General features: G+C 44.1%; 2 annotated features.

Annotated features, from left to right (window-relative positions):
* Positions 14351-15175: a transcriptional cis regulatory region, noted in NCBI's record as "candidate enhancer chr2.7130 targeted for multiplex CRISPR interference". NCBI's record gives its function as "positively regulates AGAP1 gene expression with high confidence in K562 cells {active_cell/tissue: K562}" and the evidence as "EXISTENCE:mutant phenotype evidence [ECO:0000015][PMID:30612741]".
* Positions 14474-14670: a silencer, noted in NCBI's record as "fragment chr2:236369201-236369397 (GRCh37/hg19 assembly coordinates)". NCBI's record gives its function as "represses an EF-1alpha promoter that drives an FKBP-Casp9 reporter gene in an ReSE screen in K562 erythroleukemia cells {active_cell/tissue: K562}" and the evidence as "EXISTENCE:reporter gene assay evidence [ECO:0000049][PMID:32094911]".

Below are 24590 nucleotides of genomic sequence, written 5' to 3' on the forward strand. Positions count from 1 at the left end.
GAGTTTATTTCGTTTGGTTTGTTTTTAATGAATGGGACAAGATCTGGGGGTTGCATCGTTTGTTTCATATGATGCCTTTACACAGCTGAACTTAGGTGCAGTGTTTTAGCATTGACAGAAGGCTTGCCTTGAATACATTATTGAATTGATCCTCCCAGCAACCTGAGACCCATATGCTTCCTGCAGGCACACGCCTGTGAGTGGTGGCACTAAATCCTTAGCCCAGCACTCTGAGCCAAGCCCGAGATGACTTTCTCTATGGCATGTTCATCCTCACAGCAATCATATGAGCTCTACGAGTTGCATGCTGTTTTTCTTGCACATTATTTTAATTAAAAGAAACAAGTTTAAAGCAGTTAGGACACTTGCTCAGAGCAGAACTCACTCTTCAATCAATAATGATGTATAGCATACCCCTTGCCAAGCATCGTATTAGGCTCAGAATTAATATTCACCGAGGTCTAGCTTTAAGTCGGGCATAGGCTAGACTCCTTCATTGTCAGCCCTTTTAATTCTCAAAACAGTCCCATGAGCTAGAAACCATGACATCCATTTAAAATGTAATTTTAAAAAATTCCTAAAGTAATACATATTCATGGTACTTTTTAAAAATCAAGCTGTATAGAAGTATATAAAGTGAAAAATAAGGTTTCTCTCCTTTATCCCAATTCTATGTTCCATAGGTAACCACAAGTAGGTTATTTGTCCTATATGGGTTTCTTCTTCTTCTTCTTCTTCTTCTTTATTATTATTACTTTTTTTAAGATGGAGTCTTACTCTGTCACCCAGGCTGGAGTGCAGTGGCGCAATCTCAGCTCACTCAAACCGCCGCTTCCTGGGTTCAAGCAATTCTCCTGCTTCAACCTCCCAAGTAGCTGGGACTACAGGCATGCACTACCACGCCCGGATAATTTTTTGGTATTTTTAGTAAAGATGGGGTTTCGCCACATTGGCCTGGCTGGTCTCAAACTCCTGGCCTCAAGTGATCGGCCCGCCTCAGCCTCCCAAAGTGCTGGGATTACAGGCATGAGCCACCACGCCTGGCCCTATATGGGTTTCTTAAATGTTCTTCCAGATAATGTCTACCTATACAGAAGCAGACCCATACATAAACACATTTATAATATACTTAAGTGGGCTGATACTATTTTGTCACTTATTTTTTCACCTAGTAGTATATATCTTGGACATCTTTCCTTACCATAGTAATAAGCATCTATGTTACTCATCCAAGTAGCTAGCTGTCCAGCATTCCATTGAATGACTGTTCTAAATATTATTTAGCCAGTTCTCTAATTGACAGCTATATAAGTTATTTCTGGATGTTGCAATTATTTACAGTACGGTAATAAATTCACTTTGTGACTTATGGGCAAGATATTACTCTCTCTGTGTCTCAGTATTCTCATCTGTATAATGGGAATAAACGAAGTGCCTCCCAATAGGTTGTTGTCTGAGCGAAATGAGATAATAACATTAAGTGCTTAGAACAGCATCTGGCATGTTGTAAACACTCAGTAATTGTCAAATATTATTATTATTATTATTATTATTATTATAAACCTTTGTGTTCCTGTGCCAGAATAAATGATCCATTTCTGTTAATAAAATTCACATGTAAGTACAGACATTTAGTTCTGATACATGTAGTCAAAAATCACCTTCCTAAATATTGACTCTAAAGATATTCAACCTCTCTCATAAGTGAACGCAAATCAAAACAACAACACAATACCAATTCCTACCTGCCTAATTGTCAAAGATTAAACTGTTGGAAGATGGCCAGCATTGGCAACAATTTGGGAGAAGGCATTCTCATACTAAGTGGCATTTGTTTAAGATGCTGCTTGGCTCATCTGGTCAGGCTGGTCTTGGCATATCTACATGCTGGGCTTTTTAAAATAATTATGCAAAGTCTAGTTTGGCCTTCAATGATGCAGCAGCTGAGGAGGTCATGGGCATTCTCCCTTCCACGAAAAAGCCTTTCCCAGATGCCACGATCCCATTCCTGGAGCCAGATGGTTTCTCATGAGAGGCTCTCACTTGATTTCCTCTCCTTTAAAGCATGGATTTCCCATTCCAGTAGGTACAGGTGTAGCAACACCAAGGGACAGAGTGAATGACAGAGGAAGCAAGAGGGGACCCTGCCTTCATGTAGAGGCCCCAAGGCCAATGGTTAAGAAAGTGCGTGCTACAGCTGCCTCTGCAAACGACTCCTGGGTGAGCCTGAATGAGCTACCGGTTCTCAATCTTTTTTTCTCCTCTGTGAAATGAAGGCAGTCTCAGTTCCCATCTCCAGAGCTGGCATTCAGGCTATTGGCACTAGGAAGGCCATAAAATGTTGAAATGTTTCTATACCAATTGGCAAATAGCCACTGTCCCCATCTCTTTGCCTGAACCCTCTCCATGACAACTCCCCCAGCCTCTCCCCCAGGGATGTCCCACCATTTTCCCACAATGTGGCAGCGAGAAGGTTTATGCCCAGTTCACCAGCAGGCCTCCAGGGCCCTGATCCATCACTATAGCCAAGTCCATTTCCAGTTGATCATAGCTTATGCCCTACGAAACTCCCTAAGTTAAATATCACTCTTGATTTTGTCATGGAGTCATTAGGAATATTCCAAGGGGCAACATGCAGAGCTCACCTGGCACCTGATACAAGTTAACCATCAGGACTGAATTATAAGAGAACCTAAGCTCTTAGTGTAGAACAGAGACAAGCAATACCAGTGCGGGGTCATGCTCAGCCTTTCCTCTCTCTAGCTTCCAGGGTGGAGTCATTCTTGCTTGCAGTGTCTTGAAGAGAAAAGCCAAGGAAGCCAGAGTCAGAGATGTCTCCACAAAAGGGGACTAGAAGAGAAGGGATGGGAAAGAGAGACAGAAAAGGCTTGTTGGCCAGTGTTAGGAAGGGGCCCGTGTGGGGATCAGGGTTGAAGGTGAGAGACAGCCAGGAATAAGCCAGGGGCTGATGGCATGAAACGAATGACGTCTGCATGTCAGTGCTCTTGGCTTGCAGGGGCCTTTCCCAAAACCCCAGGAGGGCCAGGTAACATGTTAATATGGTCATACATGTTTGTGAAAATGTTGCAAAAGTAAGGTTTTTTTGTTTTTGCTTTTGTGAGACAGGATCTCAATCTGTTGCCCAGGCTGGAGTGCAGCCACACAATCACAGCTCACTGTAGCCTCCCCAGCCTCCCAAGTAGCTGGGACTACAGGTGTGCACCACCATGCCCACCTATTTTTTTTTTTTTTTTTTGAAGAGACAGGGTCTCAATATGTTGCCCAGGCTGGTCTCAAACTCCTGGGCTCAAGCAATCCTCCTGCCTCAGCCTCCCAAAGTGTTGGGATTACAGGTATGAGCCACTGTGCTTGGCCAAAATTAAGACGTGTTAACAGCAGTTGGTTACAACCATGCACTCTCTGTCTCTCTAATCCTTGCCTCTGTCCACTTCTCCTCATGCTGGTGACATTAAACTGCTGTGGGCAGTTTTGGGATCTCACTGAGAGGAAGTTGCCTTGGTGATATATTCAGTTGGAGTTTAATGGGTTATTTATTAATATCTGGCTTAGGAACTTTTTGTACATGGTTATGGTACTTCTAGCCATCTCTGCATAGGAATAGCTGCCAGGAATAATCCTGTCGCCCACTCTGTGGCTCACTTGATGTACCTGATATACTGACCGGGCCATCGCCTAGTGACGTGTGGGTTTCCAGCACTCTTCAGTTTCCAGCACTCCAAACATGTGGGTGGAAGAGTAAACACAAGTTTAAAGTCAGAGGCTGAAGCTGGTCTGTGGGAAGCTCTTCCAGCCATTACGTGTTTAAATCATAAGCTGAGGCCTCAGTGCTCACGGCGGCTACCTCCAGTGGCCGTCCTCTCTCGTAAGGAATCTACCCTTTAATGCTGCACATGCAGCTGTAAATGGACAAAGTTTTCCTTTATCCATGGGAATTGTGTGAATAGAACTTACCAGAATTTCTGTGTAAATGCACGCTAACCTGCAGCAGTGATACAAAGAGCAGGCACACCTGTGGATAAAGATGCATCATTTGTGCACGTCAACCTTTAGATCGTGTTTTCACATATTGGACACATTTTGTCCTTACCAAGTCTGATGGCTCTAGATGACACAGCATGCAAATTACTACCCACAGAGCAAAATGGGCTACATAAACAAGGTTTCATTGAAAGCACAATATTTTTCTTTCTTTCTTTTGTTTTCTTTTGTTTTGTTTGGCGGAGTTTCACTCTTGTTGCCCAGGCTGGAGTACAGTGGCACAATCTCAGCTCACTGCCACCTCCACCTCCCGGGTTCAAGTGATTCTCCTGCCTCAGCCTCCTGAGTAGCTGGGATTACAGGTACCTGCCACCACACCTGGCTAATTTTTGTATTTTTAGTAGAGACAGGATTTCACCATGTTGGCCAGGCTGGTCTCGAACTCCTGACCTCAAGTGATCTGCCCACCTCAGCCTCCCAAAGTGGTGGGATTATAGGCATAAGCCAACGTGCCAGGCCAAAAGCATAATATTTTTCCATAAGTCAGTGTTTGTGGCATGAGAGCAATTCAATTCCAAAATTATATATAATCAAAAATCTCTTGTACTTTCTTTACCCTTTTTAAATTAGTATTCATTTTGGTGGCTAATTTTCATAGTTTTTGTACCTAATATTCGTAATTTTACATTATTCTTAAAGAGGCTCTCCAAAATTATACTTCAGGCTCCACAAAATCTGGACCTGCCCCTGCATGAAGTCATAAGGAGAGAAAATGTTTTCCTTTAAACTTTTTATTTTGAATTAATTTTAGACATTAAAAAAGGCATAAAAGTAGTATACTGTGCTTCCAACTAATGCTAACACAACCATAGTTTAATCAAGAACAGGAAATTAATATTGCTATGGTATTATTAACCAAACTGCACTCCTTATTAGAATCTCACCAATTATTCCATGAACGTGCTTTTTCTGCCCCAAGATCTCATCTAGGAGCCCATGTTGCATTTAATTAGTTTTTACCAATCTCCTCCCGTGTGTCACAGTTCTTGAGTCTTTCCCCATCTTTCCCAACCTTGAAATTTTGGGGGAATGTTGATCAGTTATTCTATGGAATGTTCCTCAGTTTAGGTTTGGCCAATGTTTCCTCATGATTGGTGCAAAGTTGTACATTTTTAGCAATAATGTGGCAAAAAAATGACATTACATCCTTTCCGTGCATCTTATCAAGGAGTTCCTGATGCCAATATGTGCACATTTACCTTGATCGTGTGGTTAAGTTGGTCTCTGCCAGCCTTCTCCATTGTAAGTTACTATCTTTCTCTTCTTGGTAGTTGATTAGTATCTTGGGGGAGATACTTTGAGACTATACAAACCCTATTTCTCCTGTAACTTTCTAATTTTAATTTAAAACTATTTAGTTTTTAGTTAAACTACTTAGTAGTTTCTAGGTTTAGTTTAGCGGTTTCTAAAACTACTAATTTTATTATCAGTGGGGCTCTTATCTGCAGCAATTATTACTGAGGTGTTTGCTTAATGCTCTCCTCTACTTCATTCTATTTCTCTTTAGTAATTGAAATTCTATTGCTCCCTCATTTACTCACCTACTTATGCAATTGTTCATTTACACCATTACAAACTCATGATGGCTTTCTATTTTTTTTTTTTTTTTTTTTTTTGCGATGGAGTCTCAATCTGCTGCCCAGGCTGGAGTGCAGTGGTGCTATCTCGGCTCACTGCAACCTCCGCCTCCCAGGTTCAAGCGATTATCCTGCCTTAGCCTCCCCAGTAGTTGGGACTACAGGTGCATGCCACCACACCCAGCTAATTTTTAGTTTTTTGGTTTTGGTTTTTGGGTTTTTTTGTTTTCGTTTTTTTGAGACGGAGTCTTGCTCTGTCTCCCAGGCTGGAGTGCAGTAGCACAATCTTGACTCACTGCAACCTCCGCCTCCTGGGTTCAAGCCATTCTCCTGCCTCAGCCTCCCCAGTAGCTGGAATTACAGGCACACACCACCATGCTCAGCTAATTTTTGTATTTTTAGTAGAGACAAGATTTCACCATGTTGGCCAGGCTGGTCTCAAACTCCTGACCTCATGATCTGCCCATCTCGGCCTCCCAAAGTGCTAGGATTACAAGCTTGAGCCACCATGCCCACACTTATTTTATTCTTTACATTAAAATTCAGTACTATCATCATTTATTTTCTTGCTCAAATGTTTCAGCTTGGACCACTAACAGGTCCTTTGGGTTGATTCCTGCAATCTTTTAACAAACTCCATCTTTTCTTGAGCACTCCCTTACTTCCTGGCATCACAAGATGTTCTAGGCTCATCTTGTATTTTCCCTGCCCTGGCACCACTTCCCTTGCCTCCTTTTATTGGGGATGGTGTTTAAAGACCAAGCTACAGGCACTAGGTTTACTCATTGTTAGTGGGATGTCATTGCTTCTAGACTTTCTCAGCAGACAAAGCTGGGAAAGATATGTATGTGTTAATAACCCATGTGTACACATACAACTATACCATCTATCACCTGTCATGCTTGCTCTATAAAATGATGAGTTTATGCTGATACCTCTGATTCCAATTCAACACCACAGGGGCCATTTATCCTGCTCTAGGTAAGTATATCGGGGAGGCTACCAGTGTCATGGAAATGGCAGCAAAACCAATCCTCCAGAAACCCACAGTCCATTTTGTAGCCAGAGAGGACTCACGAACATCCATCAAGGGTACACTTCACTTGAGCTCCTTCTCTAGTGATGCAGCTTAGAAGAGATGTAGGGGCTCAGCCTCAACTGGAAACAAATATGCAACCTTTTCCCTTTGTTGCCATCATAGAGCCAAGGACACGAAATAGAATGAAAATGATCCTAATATAATTGCCAATTCTCTAAACCTTATAACTGGCAAAGAGTCAAATAAATTAAGATACTTATATCACAGTGAATTTTATTTCCAAAATTACATTTTCTGTGGACATTGGAGCTCTACCAATCCACAGCAATTAACTGCATTTCGGGTGAAAGATTTGTGTATAATTTAAGTTAACACTTCAATAAGGGACACTGGAAACCCCAGAGTTTAGATGCTCATGTGAAGCTTACCATTTGAAAGCTAACATAAGATGTGGCCATGACAACCTCAAAATAGTGCTAAGTGTCTAAAAGGCATTCAACTCCTCCTAAATAGTGATAACTGCATTTCCATTGCTTCTCCATTGCTACACTGGTTTCCATGAGAGAAGCTTTCCCTAAATACTCCAAGTCCTTGTCCTACCTCTTACTTTTCCCTAGAAGGCTGGGGTCAGTGACCTGATTGGGAAGTCAGGGAAAGAGACGGAGCATGCATAGCTCAGGCCCGTCCCCACTCCTGCCAGCAAAGAGCTGAATTTCCATCTACAGCTTCCAGCCCCAAGCATTCCAGGCTGCCATCTTTTGTCTTTACTTACGGTGAGCCAATAGGGTACTTCTAAGCCTGGTGCTGCCATATGTCTAAACCATGATCTGGTATAGGAGTCCTTTATGGATTACAAAAGACACAGGTCAATTGAGGTTTTAGTGAGAACAGACCTTGCAGATTTTGGATATCAACAGTTTCTAATAACTTCTCGTAGCTTCTGGACAAGCAGATTTAAAACAGTCCAAATGAGGTTTGACCTTGGTGAGTTGCTGCAGGTTTGGGTAGTTTTGTTGTTAAACAGGAAGGGCAGTAGGTCCTGACCTTGACCAAGTGCAAGCTACCCACACCTTAGCAAATGCTCCCAAGCTAGGACAGCCTATGCAAACCTGAACAGGTGGTACAAGCTGCAGGGAAGCTGCACAGACCCCGGGGCCTTAGCACAGGCATGCGCCACAGGGACCAAGCAAGTGCATTAGCCAGACATGAGCTGCGTGGGTGGCCTTGATGTGCCGGCTGTTGTGCATTGACCTTGAACCACACTGTGCAGACACATCGGAATATGCATGCTGGTATTGCAGGTGAGGCTAAGGCTAAAGGAGACCTCCTTTGACAGAATATATTCTGCTTTTAAACTATGAGGCAGCTGGGTTCCACATTCACTGAAGCTTTAGCATGAGGGAGATGGGCAGCAATAGATTGGATACCCAATTCTATTCTCCATGTATAGCCAAGGAGAAAGCTGGAGGGACTCAGCTGAATTATGTGGTTCCCCACTAGGGTCTCAAGTCAGCTCTGGATCTGTTCATTGCAAAAGTTCTGATCTTGGCTTTCACCTTCAGAGACCCAAACTGACTCACTCTCAGGAAGTGATGGATTTCTGGCAATACACAAATTAAAAAAACCCCACAGGTCTCTGTTGTAAAATAATATATATTTATGCTACCATCACATATATATGCAAGTGTGTGTGTGTGTGTGTGTGTGTGTGTGTGTGTGTGTACATAAGCTGCCATTTTAGATTAAGACAGAGAAACAAGTCAGTAAGTTATTGCCAACCCAAAAGCTAGAAAGGCCTGTGCCCGTTACATGTTGTCTTTAGAAATCATATTTGCTCAAAAATCAAGAAGAAATCAGAGTGACATTTAAGAAAAAAAGCTTAAGGCTGAAAGTCAGAACAGCAGCCTTGGAAAAATAAAAATAGGGCCAACCAGGAGGTTTCCACTGGAGAAAGAAATTTCCTTATAATATAGGAGAAAGAGTGTAATCTAGCAGACATCCACAACAGTATTGCAGGGGGAAAATGAAATCTATGGTCTAGGAAAGACAAATATCAATAGGAAAGGGCACACCTAACTGCTCTTACAGGGGAAAGGGGGAGGGTGCTGTTGACAACATGATCTTCATTGTTAACAGATCAGAAGCATCAATGGTGTCTGATGAAATCTAGCAGCTCTGCACTCTCAGGGCTATGTTGGAAGGACCACCTTTCCAGGAGAACCACTTGGAGCATCAGAGTCTATGGCAAGTGTAGCTGGAAAAACACCATTAATGGTTGAACAGCTATTCTAAGTGGGCACAGGAAATCTGAACAGATTTGAGAGAAGGCCACCAAGATGAGAGCAAAACACTGAAAGCAGCATCTTTAGGTGGATTTTAAGGTGTCACAGTCAGCATGACATGGGTACTTCTGTACCCTATGAGAACAAGCTCCAGGAATAAGAACTCTAAGAGGAGATTCAGCCAAGATGTCCTGAGCCAAGGAGGGCAGTAACAAATCAAGTCCAAGCCCAGCCAAAATACTCATCTTATGGGAGAATATCACCCAGGTAGAATTGTCCCACTCAGGAGGGAGTTAGTCGTCAGCAGAGGAGAACTTTTTGAACAATGGGTGGTTGCGACAGACCTAGAACATTTTGATTTCATTTTTCTCACTATGGCAGCCTCACAAGGCAGAGTATGGAGGAGTCAGTTAGAAAAACCAAAGCCACAAGGAAATAGGAGGCAAGGCACTCAGACCAGGCAAACAAGGCTCACCCTACATGCTTAATTAGAAAGAAATTAAGAAAAAATATTAAGAACAATTAAGAAGAAATACAAAATTAAGAAAAATTACATGCTTAATTTAGGAAATAACTTAAACTACTAGAAACTCAAGGGCCCCCACCACCACCATCAGACAAGGGCAGCAGTGGGAAACCCACACCAGCCAAACACTTTAAGGCCAGGCCCCATAAAGCCCAGTGGAGCAGCCCAGAGGTTGGGCTGAAAAGGCAAAGGCCAAATCAGAGGTCTCCTTATGCAGAAAGGGGAAAAGCATTATCTCAAGTAAGACCTGGGAATGGGGTATGTACCCACAGCAAATGCGTAAGCTTTGCCAGAAGGCAGCGAAGTCTCTGATGAGCAGATGGATTCTCCCTGAGATGAAGCAAACACAGCATCATCACAATGCGTTGATGCAGGTTCTTCCACTTGCATTTCATTCAGAGGTCAAGGATGCCCACCAGTCCGAAAGCGGCTCAAAACACTTTGCTCAACCACACCCCCACGTGAAACAGCAGTGATAAGTCTTTAGTAATAAACCAAAGTTTAACTAGGCTATACTAATATTTAGGGTTGCTTAATTTCTTGCCAGCCACCACGGCCATACAATTAACCCAAGCTAACAGAATTCGGCGTAAAGAGTGTTTAAAGTCTGCCCTCAATAAAGCTAAAGTTCATCTAAGTTGTAAAAACTCCAGCTGAAATAAAATATACTACAAAAGTGGCAGTCAACTGCCTTGGACTGGTGGGCATCCTTGGAGGTGAAAGCAAGATTCTCTCCACCTCATTCCCTCATTCAGACCCCACCCCCAGGTGGCTGCAAGGCTGGTACAAGCCTGCTTCCTTAAGGCAGAGGGTGTGCCCAGGGTATTCTGTTGTTCCCATCCTTTTCACTCTTGACTGCTTTAAAAGGGGTACATGCAAGAGACCCACTCAACTTCCCGAGGCCTGGATCAGCTTCTCAGCCATGGCTGCACTTTGGAATCGCCCAAGGAGGCTTGAAAAGTCCTGTTGCTGGGGCCTCACCCTAGAGATTCTGAATCCACAGGGGTGGGATACGGCCTGGGTGCCAGGAGTCACTGACTCTCCCCAAGTGCAGTAGCACAAAAATTTGTGTCTACCCAGAAGCTCAAAATGTGACCTTCTTTAGAAATGGGGTATATTTGCAGATGGAATTAATTAAGGATCAAAGTGAAAGCGATATGGTTTGGCTGTGTCCCCACCCAAATCTCATCTTGAATTGTAGCTCCCATAATTCCCATGTGTGGTGGGAGGGACCCAGTGGGAGATCATTGAATCATGGAGGTGGTTTCTCCCACCCTGTTCTCATGGGAGTGAATAAGTCTCATGAGATCTGATGGTTTTATGAGGGGAACCCCCTTTCGCTTGGCTCTCATTGTCTCTTTGCCTCCCCCATGTAAGACGTGCCTTTATTCTTCCCTCGCCTTCCACAATGATTGCGAGGCCTACCCAGCCACGTGGAACTGTGAGTCCATGAAAACTGTTTTTCTTTACAAATCACCCAGTCTCGGGTATGTCTTTAGCAGCAGCGAGAACAGACTAATACAGAGAGCATGTGGAATTTGGGTGGGCCCTAAATCCTATGAGTGTCCTTATAAGAGACAGAAAAAGGACACACAGAATCACAGAGAAGGTGACATGAAGACAGAGGCAGAGACTGGAGTGGAGGGTCCACAAGCCAAGGCACAGCAAGGTGTAGAAGCTGGAGAGAGGCATGGGACGGTTTCTTTCTTAGAGCTTCCAGAAGGAACCAATCCTGATGACACCTGGATTTTGAACTTTTAGCCTCCAGAGTTATGAGAGAATACATTTCTGTTGTCTTTTGTTGGCTTGTGTTTCGTTTTGTTTTGAAACAGGGTCTTGCTCTGTTGCCCGGATTGGAGTGCAGTGGTGCAATCTGGAACTCCTGGGCTCATGATCCTCCTGCCTCCACCTCCCAAGTAGCTGGGACTACAGATGTGCACGACCACACTCGGCTAATTTTTTCTATTTTTTGTAGAAATGGGGTCACACTATGTTGCCCAGGCTAATTTTAGTCATTTTAAGCCATCCAGTTTGTGTTCTCTTGTTATGGCAGTCCTAGGCAACTAAGACACCAGGTAACTGTCCTTTGTGGCCAAAGTTGGAAACCCTGCCATCTCCAACAGAGGAGAATCCAACTGCAGGAAGCGCCCCGGGGCTACCTGCACATCTGTCAAGAACATCTATGTCTGAGCCCGAGACAAATTAGAAACTGGGGAGCTTGATGTTTGGTCTTTTATTTCTTTGACTTTTAACTCGCAAGGGCAAAAAAATTTAATTCCAACTTTGATTCCCTTGGACTTTCACTTCTTTGAACTTCAAGTTGCAAGGAAACTTAATCTTCTGGTTTTAATTTATCCCCAGGAATTTCTTAATGAAGAGAGGGCTTATATTCAAATATGAGACAACTTGTTAGAGCTTCTGAATTTTGGGGATATCTTTAGGATGTCATTTGATCACACTGCAGAACCTCTGATAAGAAATGTCAAACAACATGGTTAGATATAATTTGAGATGAGAAATAAAAGAGAGTGAGTGTTTGGCCTTGGGGAAAAGTGACCTTGAGTTGATTTAACTCACGTGGTATTCTGACTGATTTCAGAGCTCTTTAGGAGCAAACTCTGTACTTCTCTAAGCGCCTAAGAGAATCTCTGAAAGCCCAGCGCCTGGTGTCAGATAGCATCACAGAAAGGTGGGCACAGCCCTGCTCAGACAAACTGCTGCTTTGCTTGCTCTGGGAGGTGAGGCTGGCCCTTGGTCGACCACTGTCTTGAACGGGAAGCGCAGGGAGTAAAGAGGACAGAAAGCTGGGATTAGAGAAGCTGCCCCTCTGGTTTTCTTGAAGAAGGACTTTCCCAGAGTACTCCAGGTCTCCTGCCCCCACTCCACGGTAGCAGAGCAAGCTCTCCGTGGGCAACAGCTCCAGCTCTCACTGCTCTGCTGCAAGAAGGTAACCTATCGACAGTCTAAGCCCCAAGAGTCTGTCTTTCCCCTCTGTCTCTATGCAGACCAGCCCAAGGGAGGGATGGGGTATAGTGTCTAGCTGGGCACAGACTCAAATCTCCCTCCAAGACCTGTGCCAATTCTACACTACAGGCAGGGAGCTAGCAGGCTGTTCCTTGAATCTGGCCTTGTCAGTAATAAAGGTGACATTGAGGTCTCTGTCCACTGATATTTTTATTTAGTTTAGCATTGTTCAGAAGTCAGGTGGGGATCAGATGCAGTGGCTCACATCTATAATCCCAGCACTTTGGGAGTCCGAGGCGGGAGGATTGTTTGGGCCCAGGAGTTCAAGACTGGCCTGGGCAACATAGCAAGATCTCCGTCTCTATAAAAAAAATTTTTTTTTTAATTAGCCAGGGTTGGCGGTATGCACCGCTGGTCCCAGCTACTCAGGAGGCTGAGGTAGGAGAATTGCTTGAGCCTAGGAGATCAAGGCTGCAGTGATTGCGCCACTGCATTCCAGCCTGGGTGACAGAGCAAGATCCTGTCTCAAAAAAAAAAGGAAAAAGAAAGAAGTCAGGTGGGAAGAGGAATGCTGTTTCCTGACCCTGAAGGCCAGCGTTTCAGAACCTTCCTAAGGGCTGGCTCTGTGCTGGGCTCAGTGCCAGGGTCGTTACGGTGATGGCTGTACTGAATCTTCACTACTGTGTGAAAGGCAGGCAATCTATCACAGCCATTTCACAGAAGAGCACACTAACACACAGAGAGGCTAAATGATATCACACCAACTGTGAGTGGAAGAGCTGAGATTTGAGCCCAAGGAGTCAGACCCCAACCACTAAAGTTAATGAAAGAAAAGCATACCTGCACTGGATAGCACCAAAATCATTTTTTAAACAATATTATCATATATATCTAGAATATATATTATATATATGATATGAATATGTATATACTCATAAATCTTTTGATATATATAATATATAGTAAATATTGTGTATGTTTGTGTTTCCAGCAATTTCTCTTTCAATAATTTATTCTAAGAAATAGTCAACAGCTATAGGAACAAATATGTACAGGGCTGTTCAATTCAGCTTCACTGTAATATAACAAAAATGGAAACAATTTAAATATCCAAAACAATAGTTGATTAATTAAATGTATTACAATAGAGCCATATAATACAAATACAAAAGTGTTGTTTAAGGCATATAAATGAGAAAAATGGAAGAATAAACAACAGCCACAAGACTTGGAAGTTGGAAAGCAGTCCAGTGAGTGATAAAGACCCAGCAGAGCTTGGGAACTTTGTGCAGGCTACGAGAAGGCTGAGATCCAAGGTGTGGAATCACCGAAAGGTCTAGGTACCTCCAGAAGTAGGGTGAGTTGGGGCAGCGGGCATAGAACTGAACCAAGGAGAATGGGATGAGAGTTCATTTAAGCAACACTCAGTTGAGAAAATGCCTCTTCCCACCCAGCAAAGCCTGGGACTGGACCCTTGGGAGAGAGGAAAGCAAACACCCTCTGGGCTGGCCACACCAGGCTCCCCTGAGAGCAGAGCCTCCTACTAAAGATGGAGAGGTTAGTGAATGTTTGCTTTCAAGATGCTGAGACCCTGCCCCTTCCTCTCACAGCACCTGAGCACGGGCTGCAGGACCTCAGCTCTAAGCAGGGCCAGGCACCGTGGCTCATGCTTGTAATCCCAGAACTTTGGGTGGTCAAGGCAGGCAGATTGCTGGAGCCTAAGAGTTAGAGAACAGCCTGGGCAACATAGCGCGATTCTGTCTCTACAAAAAAATAAAAATAAAAAAATTAGCTGGACATGATGGTGTGTGCTTGTAGTCCCACCTACTCAGGGGGCTAAGATGGGAGGATCACTTGCACTCAGGAGTCCAAGGCTGCAGCGAACTATGATGGAGCCACTGCACTCCAGCCTGGGCAACAGAGCGAGACCGTATCTTAAAAGAAAACAACAACAAAAACAAAAACAAAAATGCAGTAAGAATGCTAGAGGCTTCTCCTTTACAAACAGCCCAAGGATGTCAACATCAGGACAACCACACAGCCCAGCTGTTGGGAGTTGATGTCAACTAAACAGCCCAGCTATTGGGAGAGCTGAGTGGAAGAGACTGACAGATGGAGGATTGGAATGGAGTTATGCAAAAGGGAAGAAGAGGTGAGCCTGGAGCGGGGGCTACTTGCCTGTGGGTGGCTCTTGGGTCACACTTGCCCCGTCCACCAACACTGGCCAGTTTGAAGTTCTCAAACTGAACATGATGAGTCAGCGGAGGAGATGCGCTAGATGGAATATTCCATAAACACTGGTGGGAATTACATGCTATCTAGGGACACAGCTCAGAGTCATGCTGCCAGGGGGTGAAGATAAGAGCAAAGCTGTTGGTCTGTTAGCACAGGAAACAGGATGGGTGTCAGTGACAAAGGACCAGAATTAAAGGGATCAGAATTCAGAAGAAATGCGACAAGTGTGTGCTTTCACGAGGCGATTCATTTGCGATCTCAGAGGGAAATAAGTAGAGCAAGAGAACAAGTATCAAAATGCAGTTAGACCAAATGGTTAGGAAGAATTTGAGATTTGTGGAGAAGAGATTTTTCAAAGATTGTACTAGCTCAATTACTAACTGTGACCCACTACATTCAATTTTTGTGCATTAGTTTGGGTTTTGTGTGACCAAATGAAGAACACGAATTATAATCGTTGGTCTGCCGTCAGTAGCCAAGGGCTGCTCTTCAAGGCACTGGGGAAGAGGTAGTGTGGGCTAGCTAGATGTCACCAGGACTCCAAAGTTCTTCCTCGTGACTCTCACAGTAAATATCCCAATAGCAGAAGCCAGGTTGGAAGGTGTTGAATTGTGTCCCCCAAAATGATAGGTTGAAGTCCTAATCCTGTGCATACACTTGATTTGGAAATAGAGTCTTTGTAGACGTCATTAAGATGTGAAGTTAAGATGAGGTGTTACTGGTGTAGGGTGGGCCCTTAATGCAATACGACTGATGTCCTTATAAAAAGAAAAGACACAGAGACAGACATAGGGAGAATGCTGTGCGTTTACAGGGGCAGAGACTGGAGCCATGTGTCCACGAACCAAGGGAACACCAAAGACTCCCAGCAAAGCCAGGAGAGAAGCATGGGACAGATTCAACCCCCGGGCCCCCAGGAAGGAACCCACCCTGCTGCCACCTATGCTGTTGGACTTCTGGCCTCCATGACTGCAAGAGAGTGAATTTCTGTTATTTTAAGCCACCCAGTTTGCGGGGCTTTGTGAGAACAGCCCGAGGAGACTCATATGAAAAGGTTCAGAGTCAGACCCAGCACCAGGATTAGAACACACATCCTGACTCTTCCCTCCCCTGCCTCTACTCATTGAGGAGCCGGTTATCAATGCTGCTCAACGGATGTGGGTTGAACAAAACAATGGCTCCCCTTGAGAGAAAATGAGGAAGCTCATGGACTTAGAGAAGTGGATATGGACAGGCCCCTGCTCATGCGTTCAGCATTGACAAGGTGCTCAGGACAGCTCTGGCTACCGATTTATAGTTCTAGGATGTAAATGCAAAACCAAAAGGTCTTCAGCATGATTTTCTTTTGTCGTTTTGTTTGTTTGTTTTTGTTTTGTTGTTTTTTTGAGACGGGGTCTCGCTCTGTTGCCCAGGCTGGAGTGCAGTGGTGCAATTATGGCTCACTGCAGCCTCGACCCTCTGGGCTGAAGCAATCCTCTCACCTCAGCCTCCCAAGTAGCTGGGCCCATAGTTGCACGCCACCGCATCCAGCTAATTACAATTTTTGTTGTAGAGACAAGATCTTGCTATGTTGCTCAGGCTGGTCTCAAATTCCTGGGCTCAAGCAACCATCCTGCCATGGCCTCCCAAAGTGCTAGGATCCAGCCTGATTTTCAAAATTCAACATCAGCAGAGGAAAATTACCTTTTGTGTTTTGTTTGTGAGGAAAATATTTCAGTTCACAAGCAATTGAAAATGAATGTGGAACTAACTGGCCGATATCTATTTCCCAAAGCCCCGTTTCTGATTCCCAACTGTGCTCAGCTGTGCTTCCATAAAGGACAATTAAGCCCATTGTGGCCATGAGGTTCCCTGAATCCACCAGTCTATGGCATTTGTATAAGGAGACTACTCACTGTGGGGAACAAACTGGGTCTTCTTTAAATTTCTTATTAATTAGATACCTCTTATCTGAACTCAGCACAATTTCTACTTATTCCCATGGGGAGAACTTATAGCTCTGCCAAGCATCGTGGGGCCGCCTCTGCTGCTCATACCTGGATTCCACGGGTTGGCTGTGCTCAGCTACAGCTGCAGCCGCAGCCAGGTAGGATGCCTGTCACATGCTTGCTGTACACAGCGAGCTGGAATGGATAACGTGAAGCCTACTTTTGCCAAAGAGGAGAAAAAACCTTCCCAGTAGCAGTGCAAATGCAAAGAAAGAACTTCAAAATGAATCTGAATACCTGTCAACTTAAAAACGTTTCTCTTTTTATTTTGCTAACTATTGTTCTAGCATTTTGTTCTAAAATAACTTTAGGTTCTAAAGTCGAGCTTCAAGACACATCCTGCCCAGGCGCAGTGGTTCGAGCCTGTAATCCCAGCATTTTGGGAGGCTGAGGCGGGTGGATCACTTGAGGTCAGGAGTTCGAGACCAGCCTGACCAACATGGTGAAACCCCAGCTCTACTAAAAATACAAAAGTACCTGGGCATGGTGGTGCACGCCTGTAATCCCAGCTACTTGGGAGGTTGAGGCAGAAGAATCACTTGAACCCAGGAGATGGAGGTTGCAGTGAGCTGAGCCACTGCACTCCAGCATGGGCAACAAGAGCGAAACTCCATCTCAAAAAAGAAAGAAAGAAAGAAAAAAAGACACATCCCCGTGGAATTTATCCTGAGTTGACCAGGTAGGTTCTGCAGTACTCAAATCCACTCCCACCAGCAAGCTATCTTGAGAAAGACTGGAGTTTACTGGAGATTGCTGGTAGGAATTGAGGAAGAAATGGAGAAGAGTCCAACTGAGGTGGGGGAGGGTGCTGAAGTGTTTTCCCACTACTCCCACCTTGAACCCCAGATGCCTCCAAGAGAACACTCTGTAGAGGCTGCTGGTGCCTGTGCTTCACTCCACCTGAACAGTGGCTGAGCTGCAGAAGTGCAGGCCATTCTGATGCACTGGGGTGAAGCATAGGTGGGAGGGCTTGGGAAAACTGGATCCTGCTCCCCAGCGGAGGGCTCTGACAGTGGGAGCTGGCTGGGGCACCTGTGGTAGATGGCAGGGCTGAGGGAGTGGGCTGCTGTACAGTTGCACGGACCCCCAACATTGGGTCTGGTATGAATGCATGAGTTTTTTCTTCGGGAGGGGAGTGGCAAGTGGATGCTGAGAAGATAGGCTGACTAGAGTTGACATTATGGGAACCCACCCACAAAGGCAGCCTTCAAGGGCATAGGGTCCTCAGCTGTAAGAAGCCATGGGCTGGACCCTGGGGCAGGAGTTGAACAGAGCTGCAGTTAGTTAGAGCATAGGCCCTCCTAAGAGCTGATATCTTGAGTGTGACAAAAGAGCCAGCACTTGGACGCGTGCCATGGCCAAGAGCTTTGGGAGCCAAGAGAGAACTACAAAGAACACACTCAAAGTCAAAGGAGTTTTGCTCCTTTCTGCTAAGCCCTTCCCTGCCTGCCCTGGCCCCAGAAGACACAGACAGGAAAGGATGGGAGAAGGAAGAGAAGAGGTACCCTCTCTCCCACGGTGGGGTTTGGCTGGCAGAGCTAGGCACACCCCAGTTACAAGGTGGAAGTGTGGGTATTAGGCTGGCCTCAATCATTTAATCTTGGGAAGGGAATTGGCATCACCTAAATGAGGCTGTGGCAGCTGAGATGGCCGGAAAGCTGTGGCTCCGCCCCAAGGAGTCATCTAGGACAGGAAAGGGAGAAGCAGTGGATCAAGATTGGAAAAGTAAAGAAGAAAGACAGCTGGGAGTCAAGACTGTTCCTTATGGCTCCCCCTTGGCGTTTACCCACTTGACAAATCTTTTTTTTTTCTTTTTTGAGACAAGGCTCACTCTGTTGCCCAGGCTGGAGTGTAGTGGCACCATCTCGGCTCACTGCAACCTCCGCTCCCAGGTTCAAGTGATTCTCTTGCCTCAGCCTCCCAAGTAGCTGGGATTACAGGCACACGCCACCACACCCAGCTAATTTTTGCATTTCTAGTACAGATAGTGTTTCACCATGTTGGCCAGGCTGGTCTCGAACTCCTGACCTCGGGTGATCCACCCACCTCAGCTTCCCAAAGTGCTGGGATTACAGACGTGAGCCCCCATACCCAGCCAACAAATCTTACAAATCTAAGAAATCAAGTTTCTTAGCAGACAAGAAGGTGACTTAACACCCCCAACTATTAGTCTCTTCTCAATGGTTGTACCAGAAATTCCCCAGTAATTTGTCATTATTCTTATAAAGCCAGGGATCTTCTCCCCTTTGAAATGCACATCCCTCTGGGAAGGACCCCTTGGGCTTTCCTGTGAGAGGACATTGGCTCAGTCCTTTCCTGAGAGAGGAGGGGAGGACAGATTTGGGAGGCTCTGGATGAGTGAGGAATATCTGCTGTTTGGGATGGGAGGGCCCAGAGATGCATACATGAAGGTGCTGAAACTGACCTTGCCCCCAGCCCCATTTACCTGGAGCTGGCTCCAGGAGAATGAAAACTTTGGAAAAATCTGTGTGTGTGTGTGTGTGTGTGTGTGTGTGTGTGTGTGTGTGTTTAGTTCTTTAAAAATTCCACGTGTCAACCCTTCGGCTGTTTTTCTATGTTCTTTGCCATCATTGTTAGTTCAGGTTAAATATTATGGTCAAAAAATAGAATGGGAACTAACAAAGAATAAATTGCCATCTTCTATGCTAAGGTTAGCCAATAGATGTTTCTGTTAAGCAATCCTAAGGCTCTGAGATACTGTAAGGTAGAGAAGCTCTCTGAAAGCTCTCATAAAGATATAAAGTTTCCCTAAAATCAATGAAAGTAAGCAGAGTATCCAGAAATAGACTCAAATATACATGGAAATTGAGCATATGGCAATGGGGACACTTCACATCTAGGGCAAAAGCAAGGTTCTGTGCATGACATTGGGACAACTGGTATCAGCGAGTAGGGGTGGGGAAGTGATCCATATTGCAATTATTATTATTATTATTATTATTATTATTATTATCATTTTGAGACAGAGTCTCACTCTGTCTCCCAGGCTGGAGTTCAGTGGCTCCATCTCGGTTCACTGCAACCTCTGCCTCCCAGTTCAAATGATTCTCCTGCCTCAGCCTCCCAAGTAGCTGGGATTACAAGCATGCACCACCATGCCCGGCTAATTTTTGTATTTTTAGTAGAGACAAGGTTTTACCATGTTGGCCAGGCTGGCCGCAAACTCTTGACCTCAAGTGAACCACCCACCTCAGCCTCCCAAAGTGCTGGGATTACAGGCATGAGATATCGTGCCCCGCCCCTACTGCAATTTTTTTATTTTTATTTTTTAATTTATTTAGTTTTTGAGACAGGGTCTCTGTTGCACAGGCTGGAGTGCAGTAGTGAGATCTCAGCTCACTGCAACCTCCGCCTCCTGGGTTCAAGCAATTCTCCCATCTTAGCCTCCTGAGTAGCTGGGATTATAGGTGCACACCACCATGCCTGGCTCATTTTGTATTTTTTTGTAGAGACAGAGTTTCACCATTGCCCAAACTGGTCTCGAACTCCTGAGCTCAAGGGATCCACCCACCTCAGCCTTCCAAAGTACTGGGATTAACAGCATGAGCCACCGCGCCTGGCTCTTCCTGCAATCTTAAAACCAGAATAAACTCTAGTTGTAATAATGTAGCCACCAGTCGCCTGGAGCTCTTTACAGTTAAATTAATTTAAATTAAATAATGGTAAAAACTCATATTCAGTTGCATTAGTCACAATTCAAGTGCTCAAGAGCCACATGGGGCTGGTGGCTGCCATATTGGACAACACAGAACATTTCCATCAACACAGGAGGTTCTACTGAATGAAGCTGCTTTGGACTGTTCAAAGATTTAAATGTAAAAGTGAACATTATTATTATTATTATTATTATTATTATTATTATTATTACTGAGACAGAGTCTCGCTCTGTCACCAGGCTGGAGTGCAGTGGCGTGATCTCAGCTCCCTACAACTTCTGCCTCCTGGGTTCAAGTGATTCTCCTGCCTCAGCCTCCCGAGTAGCTGGGACTACAGGCACGCGCCACCACGCCCAGCTAATTTTTGTATTTTTAGTAGAGACAGTGTTTCACCATGTTGGCCAGGCTGGTCTCAAACTCCTGACCTCATGATTCACCAGCCTTGGCCTCCCAAAGTGCTGGAATTACAGGCGTGAGCCACCGTGCCTGGCCTAAAAATATATCTTATTAAAGCACTAGAAGAAAACAAAACATGGATTTTTAAATCTTGGAATGGAGATAAATCAATGCAAAACCTAAAAACCAATGCAAGAACTTAAAAAACAGAGAACAATTGTTCAAATTGCTAAATAAAAATTTAAAATTTCCTCTTTGTGAAAAATAATCTAATAAACAGGCTTCAAATGGTAAAACAAACAAACAAAAAAACCAGATTTATAATCTACAAGCAGAAAAAGAGCTAATTTCCTTAATAAAATAATATAGAAGGACAAAAACCCAAGAGGAAAAAAATGTGTCAAGAACAGGGCATTTCACTGAACCAAAAAGATATAAATGGCCAACAAATACATTAAAGGATGTTTAACCTCAGAATTGAGAAAATGCAAATTAAATAATGATAGTATCATCATTAAATAATGGAAGAGGCCACTTTTCAACTATCATTGGGAAAATTAAACAGTTTGCATGCATCATTTGCTAGAATGTGGAAAATCTGGTAGGTTCACACATTGATGGTAGAAGAATAAACTACAGCAGTTTATTCAGTTTGCCAGCAGAAATCAACATTTTAAGTGCATGTTACCTTTGACCTAGTATTTCCATCATTAAAAATTTACCAGGCTGGGCACAGTGGCTCACACAGGTAATCCCAGCACTCTGGGAGACTCAGGCTGGCCTCTCACTATGTTGCCCAGGCTGGTCTCGAACACCTGGCCTCAGCTCCGTCAGGAGTACGAGACCAGCCTGGGCAACATAGTGAGACCCAATCTCTACCAAAAATACAAAAATAAGCCGGGTTTGGTGGTACGTGCCTGTGGTCCCAGTTACTCAGTAGGCTAAGGAGGAAGGATTGCTTAAGCCCAGGATGTGGAGGCTGTAGTGAATCATGATTATGCCATCATATTTCAGCCTGGGTGACAGAGCCAGACCCTGTCTTAAAAAAAAAAAAATTCCCTACAAATATACTTTGAAATGTGCACAAAGTTATGTGCACAAAATGCTCACTTGCAGCTGCATTTGTTATTTTAAAAAAAGAAAAATCCCTGAAATGTCTATTAAATAAATTATGTCTATGTAAATAAATTATGCTACAGCTATAAGTAAGATACTATGCACCCATTAAAAATATATGTGTTGGCCAGGCACAGTGGCTCACACCTGTAATCCCAACACTTTGGGGGGCCAAGGCGGACGGATCACGAGGTCAGGAGATTGAGACCAGCCTGGTCAACATGGTGAAACCTCGTCTCTACTAAAAATACAAAAATTAGCTGGGCATGGTGGCTCATGCCTGTAATCCTAGCTACTCGGGAAGCCAGGCAAGAGAACCAGGGAATCGGAGGTTGCAGTAAGCCGAGATCACGCCATTGCACTCCAGCTTGGTGACAGAGTAAGACTCCATCTCAAAAAAAAAAAAAAAAAAAAAAGTGTTGCAATGAGGTGACTATAGTCAATAATAATTTCGTTGTATATTTTAGAATAAGAGTATAATTGGATTATTTATGATACAGAGGATAAATGCTTGAGGGGATGGATACGTCATTCTCCAGAATGTGATTATTACACATTACATGCCTGTATCTAAACATCCCATGTACCCCATAAATATATACACCTACCATGTACCCACAAAAATAAAAAATTTAAAGTATATATGTGCTGATAAGATCCCCAAGATATATAATTAAGTGAAAAGCGTAGGGCTAGAACAAAGCGCAGTATGATCCTAACTTGGTCCTGTTTTGTTTTTAAGGTATACAGAATATTCATACAGATTTTGCTCATATGCAAACAAGATAGACCCGAGGATACGTAGGAATTTGCCAATAATTACTCCCAGTGAGTAGAACTGGTGGGTGGGGATATAGTTTTGTTTCTTTCTTTAGATCATTTTGTGTTTTTTGGGGTGTTTTTTTTGCCATATATTCATTTGTTTACATTGAAAATAAAACAGACTCAAAAGTAAATAAAGGTGCTGTATCAATGGAGAATATTCACCACTTCCTGTGTAAATTTAATTCCGAAGGACAGCGTGCACCTGAGTAATGTAGATAAAAAGACCCTGTGAGTCTAGGGGCTGTCAGATGGACTCTGCCCCGGCACACACGGAAGCAGGAGATGCTCCTGCCCGTCACTGGGAAGGGAAGTGGAGGCAGTCCCGTTCCTGATGTCTCAATGTCAAAAATGGCCAGGCTGAGCATAACCTCCCTCCTGCTACCCGATACTCAGCTCAGCTTGAGGACTCAGCTCTGACTCAGAGAAGGATCTGGTTCCAGGGAATTTTGTCATGAGAAGCAAATCATGTGACACCCCAGTGTGAGAAATGGCTGGCCAGTGTAAAGCTGTGGAAAATTGAAGTTAGTCTTGGCTCCAGGCTTTATGGAGGTTTTTCTATTAACCAGAGGTGAGCTCAGGTGCGAGGTTAATGGAAAGGTGCAGAGAAGGCTGTCGGGGGACTGCGGTGACGGTTTACACTGCTGTGTAGGATGCAGTTCCTGTAACAAGTGGATATTCTCTTCTATTATAAAATACAGCCCCATGGGACTGTGGCATCAAAGGCCTCTTGTGGGTCTGGAAACTCTTAGCTGGAGGAGAAAAACAGGCTCTGCTCAGGATGCAGGCTGACAAGCATAAGCCTTGTTTTGTTCTCTGTAGAAACAATGAAACTTCAAGCATAAGGAAAAATTGCTTAAATTCCTAACATCCCACCACCCTAAGTTAATTAATTGGCATATTTTCTTCCTATCTTCCTATGCATGGGTGCATGTTTTTCATATTTCTAATTAAAATACTCACAAGTTGTAGCATTTTGCCTTTTTAAACTATATACTATAAAATCTATTTTCAGCAGGGTGTGGTGGCTCACGCTTGTAATCCCAGCACTTTGGGAGGCCAAGGCAGGTGGATCACTTGAGGCTGGGAGTTCGAGACCAGCCTGGCCAACGTGGTGAAACCCCATCTATACTAAAAATACAAAATTTAGCTGGGCGTGGTGGCGGGTGCCTGTAATCTCAGCTAATCGGGAGGCTGAGGCAGGAGAATCACTTGAACCTGGAGATAGAGGTTGCAGTGAGTGGAGATCATGCCATTGCACTCCAGCCTGGATGACAAGAGCGAAACTGCATCTAATATATATATATATATATATATATATATATATATATATATATATATATATATATTTTCCATATCTCTGTATAACCTTACTACTTGCGGTCTTACTGTACCACATTTTACCAAGTTGACACACAGTTCCCTATTGTTGGATAGTTATATATTGTTAAATACTTTTGATTTGATGACCTACAAGATATCATTCCAGGGAGCATTTTCAATGTACGCAGTTTTTTCCTCCTGTTAAATTGCTTCCTAAAAATACTCAGGACTGGAACGACAAGGCCAAAGGCATAACCATTTTTGCAACATGTTGCCACATTGCTTTCCAGCTGGGTTATAATGGTGTTCTGTGCCTATGAGTTGCTGGGAGGAATTGCTCAGACAAGAATAGAGCCAGGAAGCCAGGAAGACAGTAGCTATTTTGGTCAGTTGGGGCTGCTATAACAAAATACTATAGACTTAAGAAACTGAAATTTATTTCTCACAGTTCTGGAGGCTGGAAGTCCAAGATCAGGGTGCCAGCATGATTGGGTTCTGCTGAGGGCTGTGTTCTTAGTTTGCAGATGACCACTTTCTTGCTATGTCTTCGCATGGCATTTTCTTGGTTGGTGCACTCAGAAAGACA

The sequence above is a fragment of the Homo sapiens genome, chromosome 2 (assembly GCF_000001405.40).
Source record: "Homo sapiens chromosome 2, GRCh38.p14 Primary Assembly".
Classification (NCBI taxonomy): domain Eukaryota; kingdom Metazoa; phylum Chordata; class Mammalia; order Primates; family Hominidae; genus Homo; species Homo sapiens.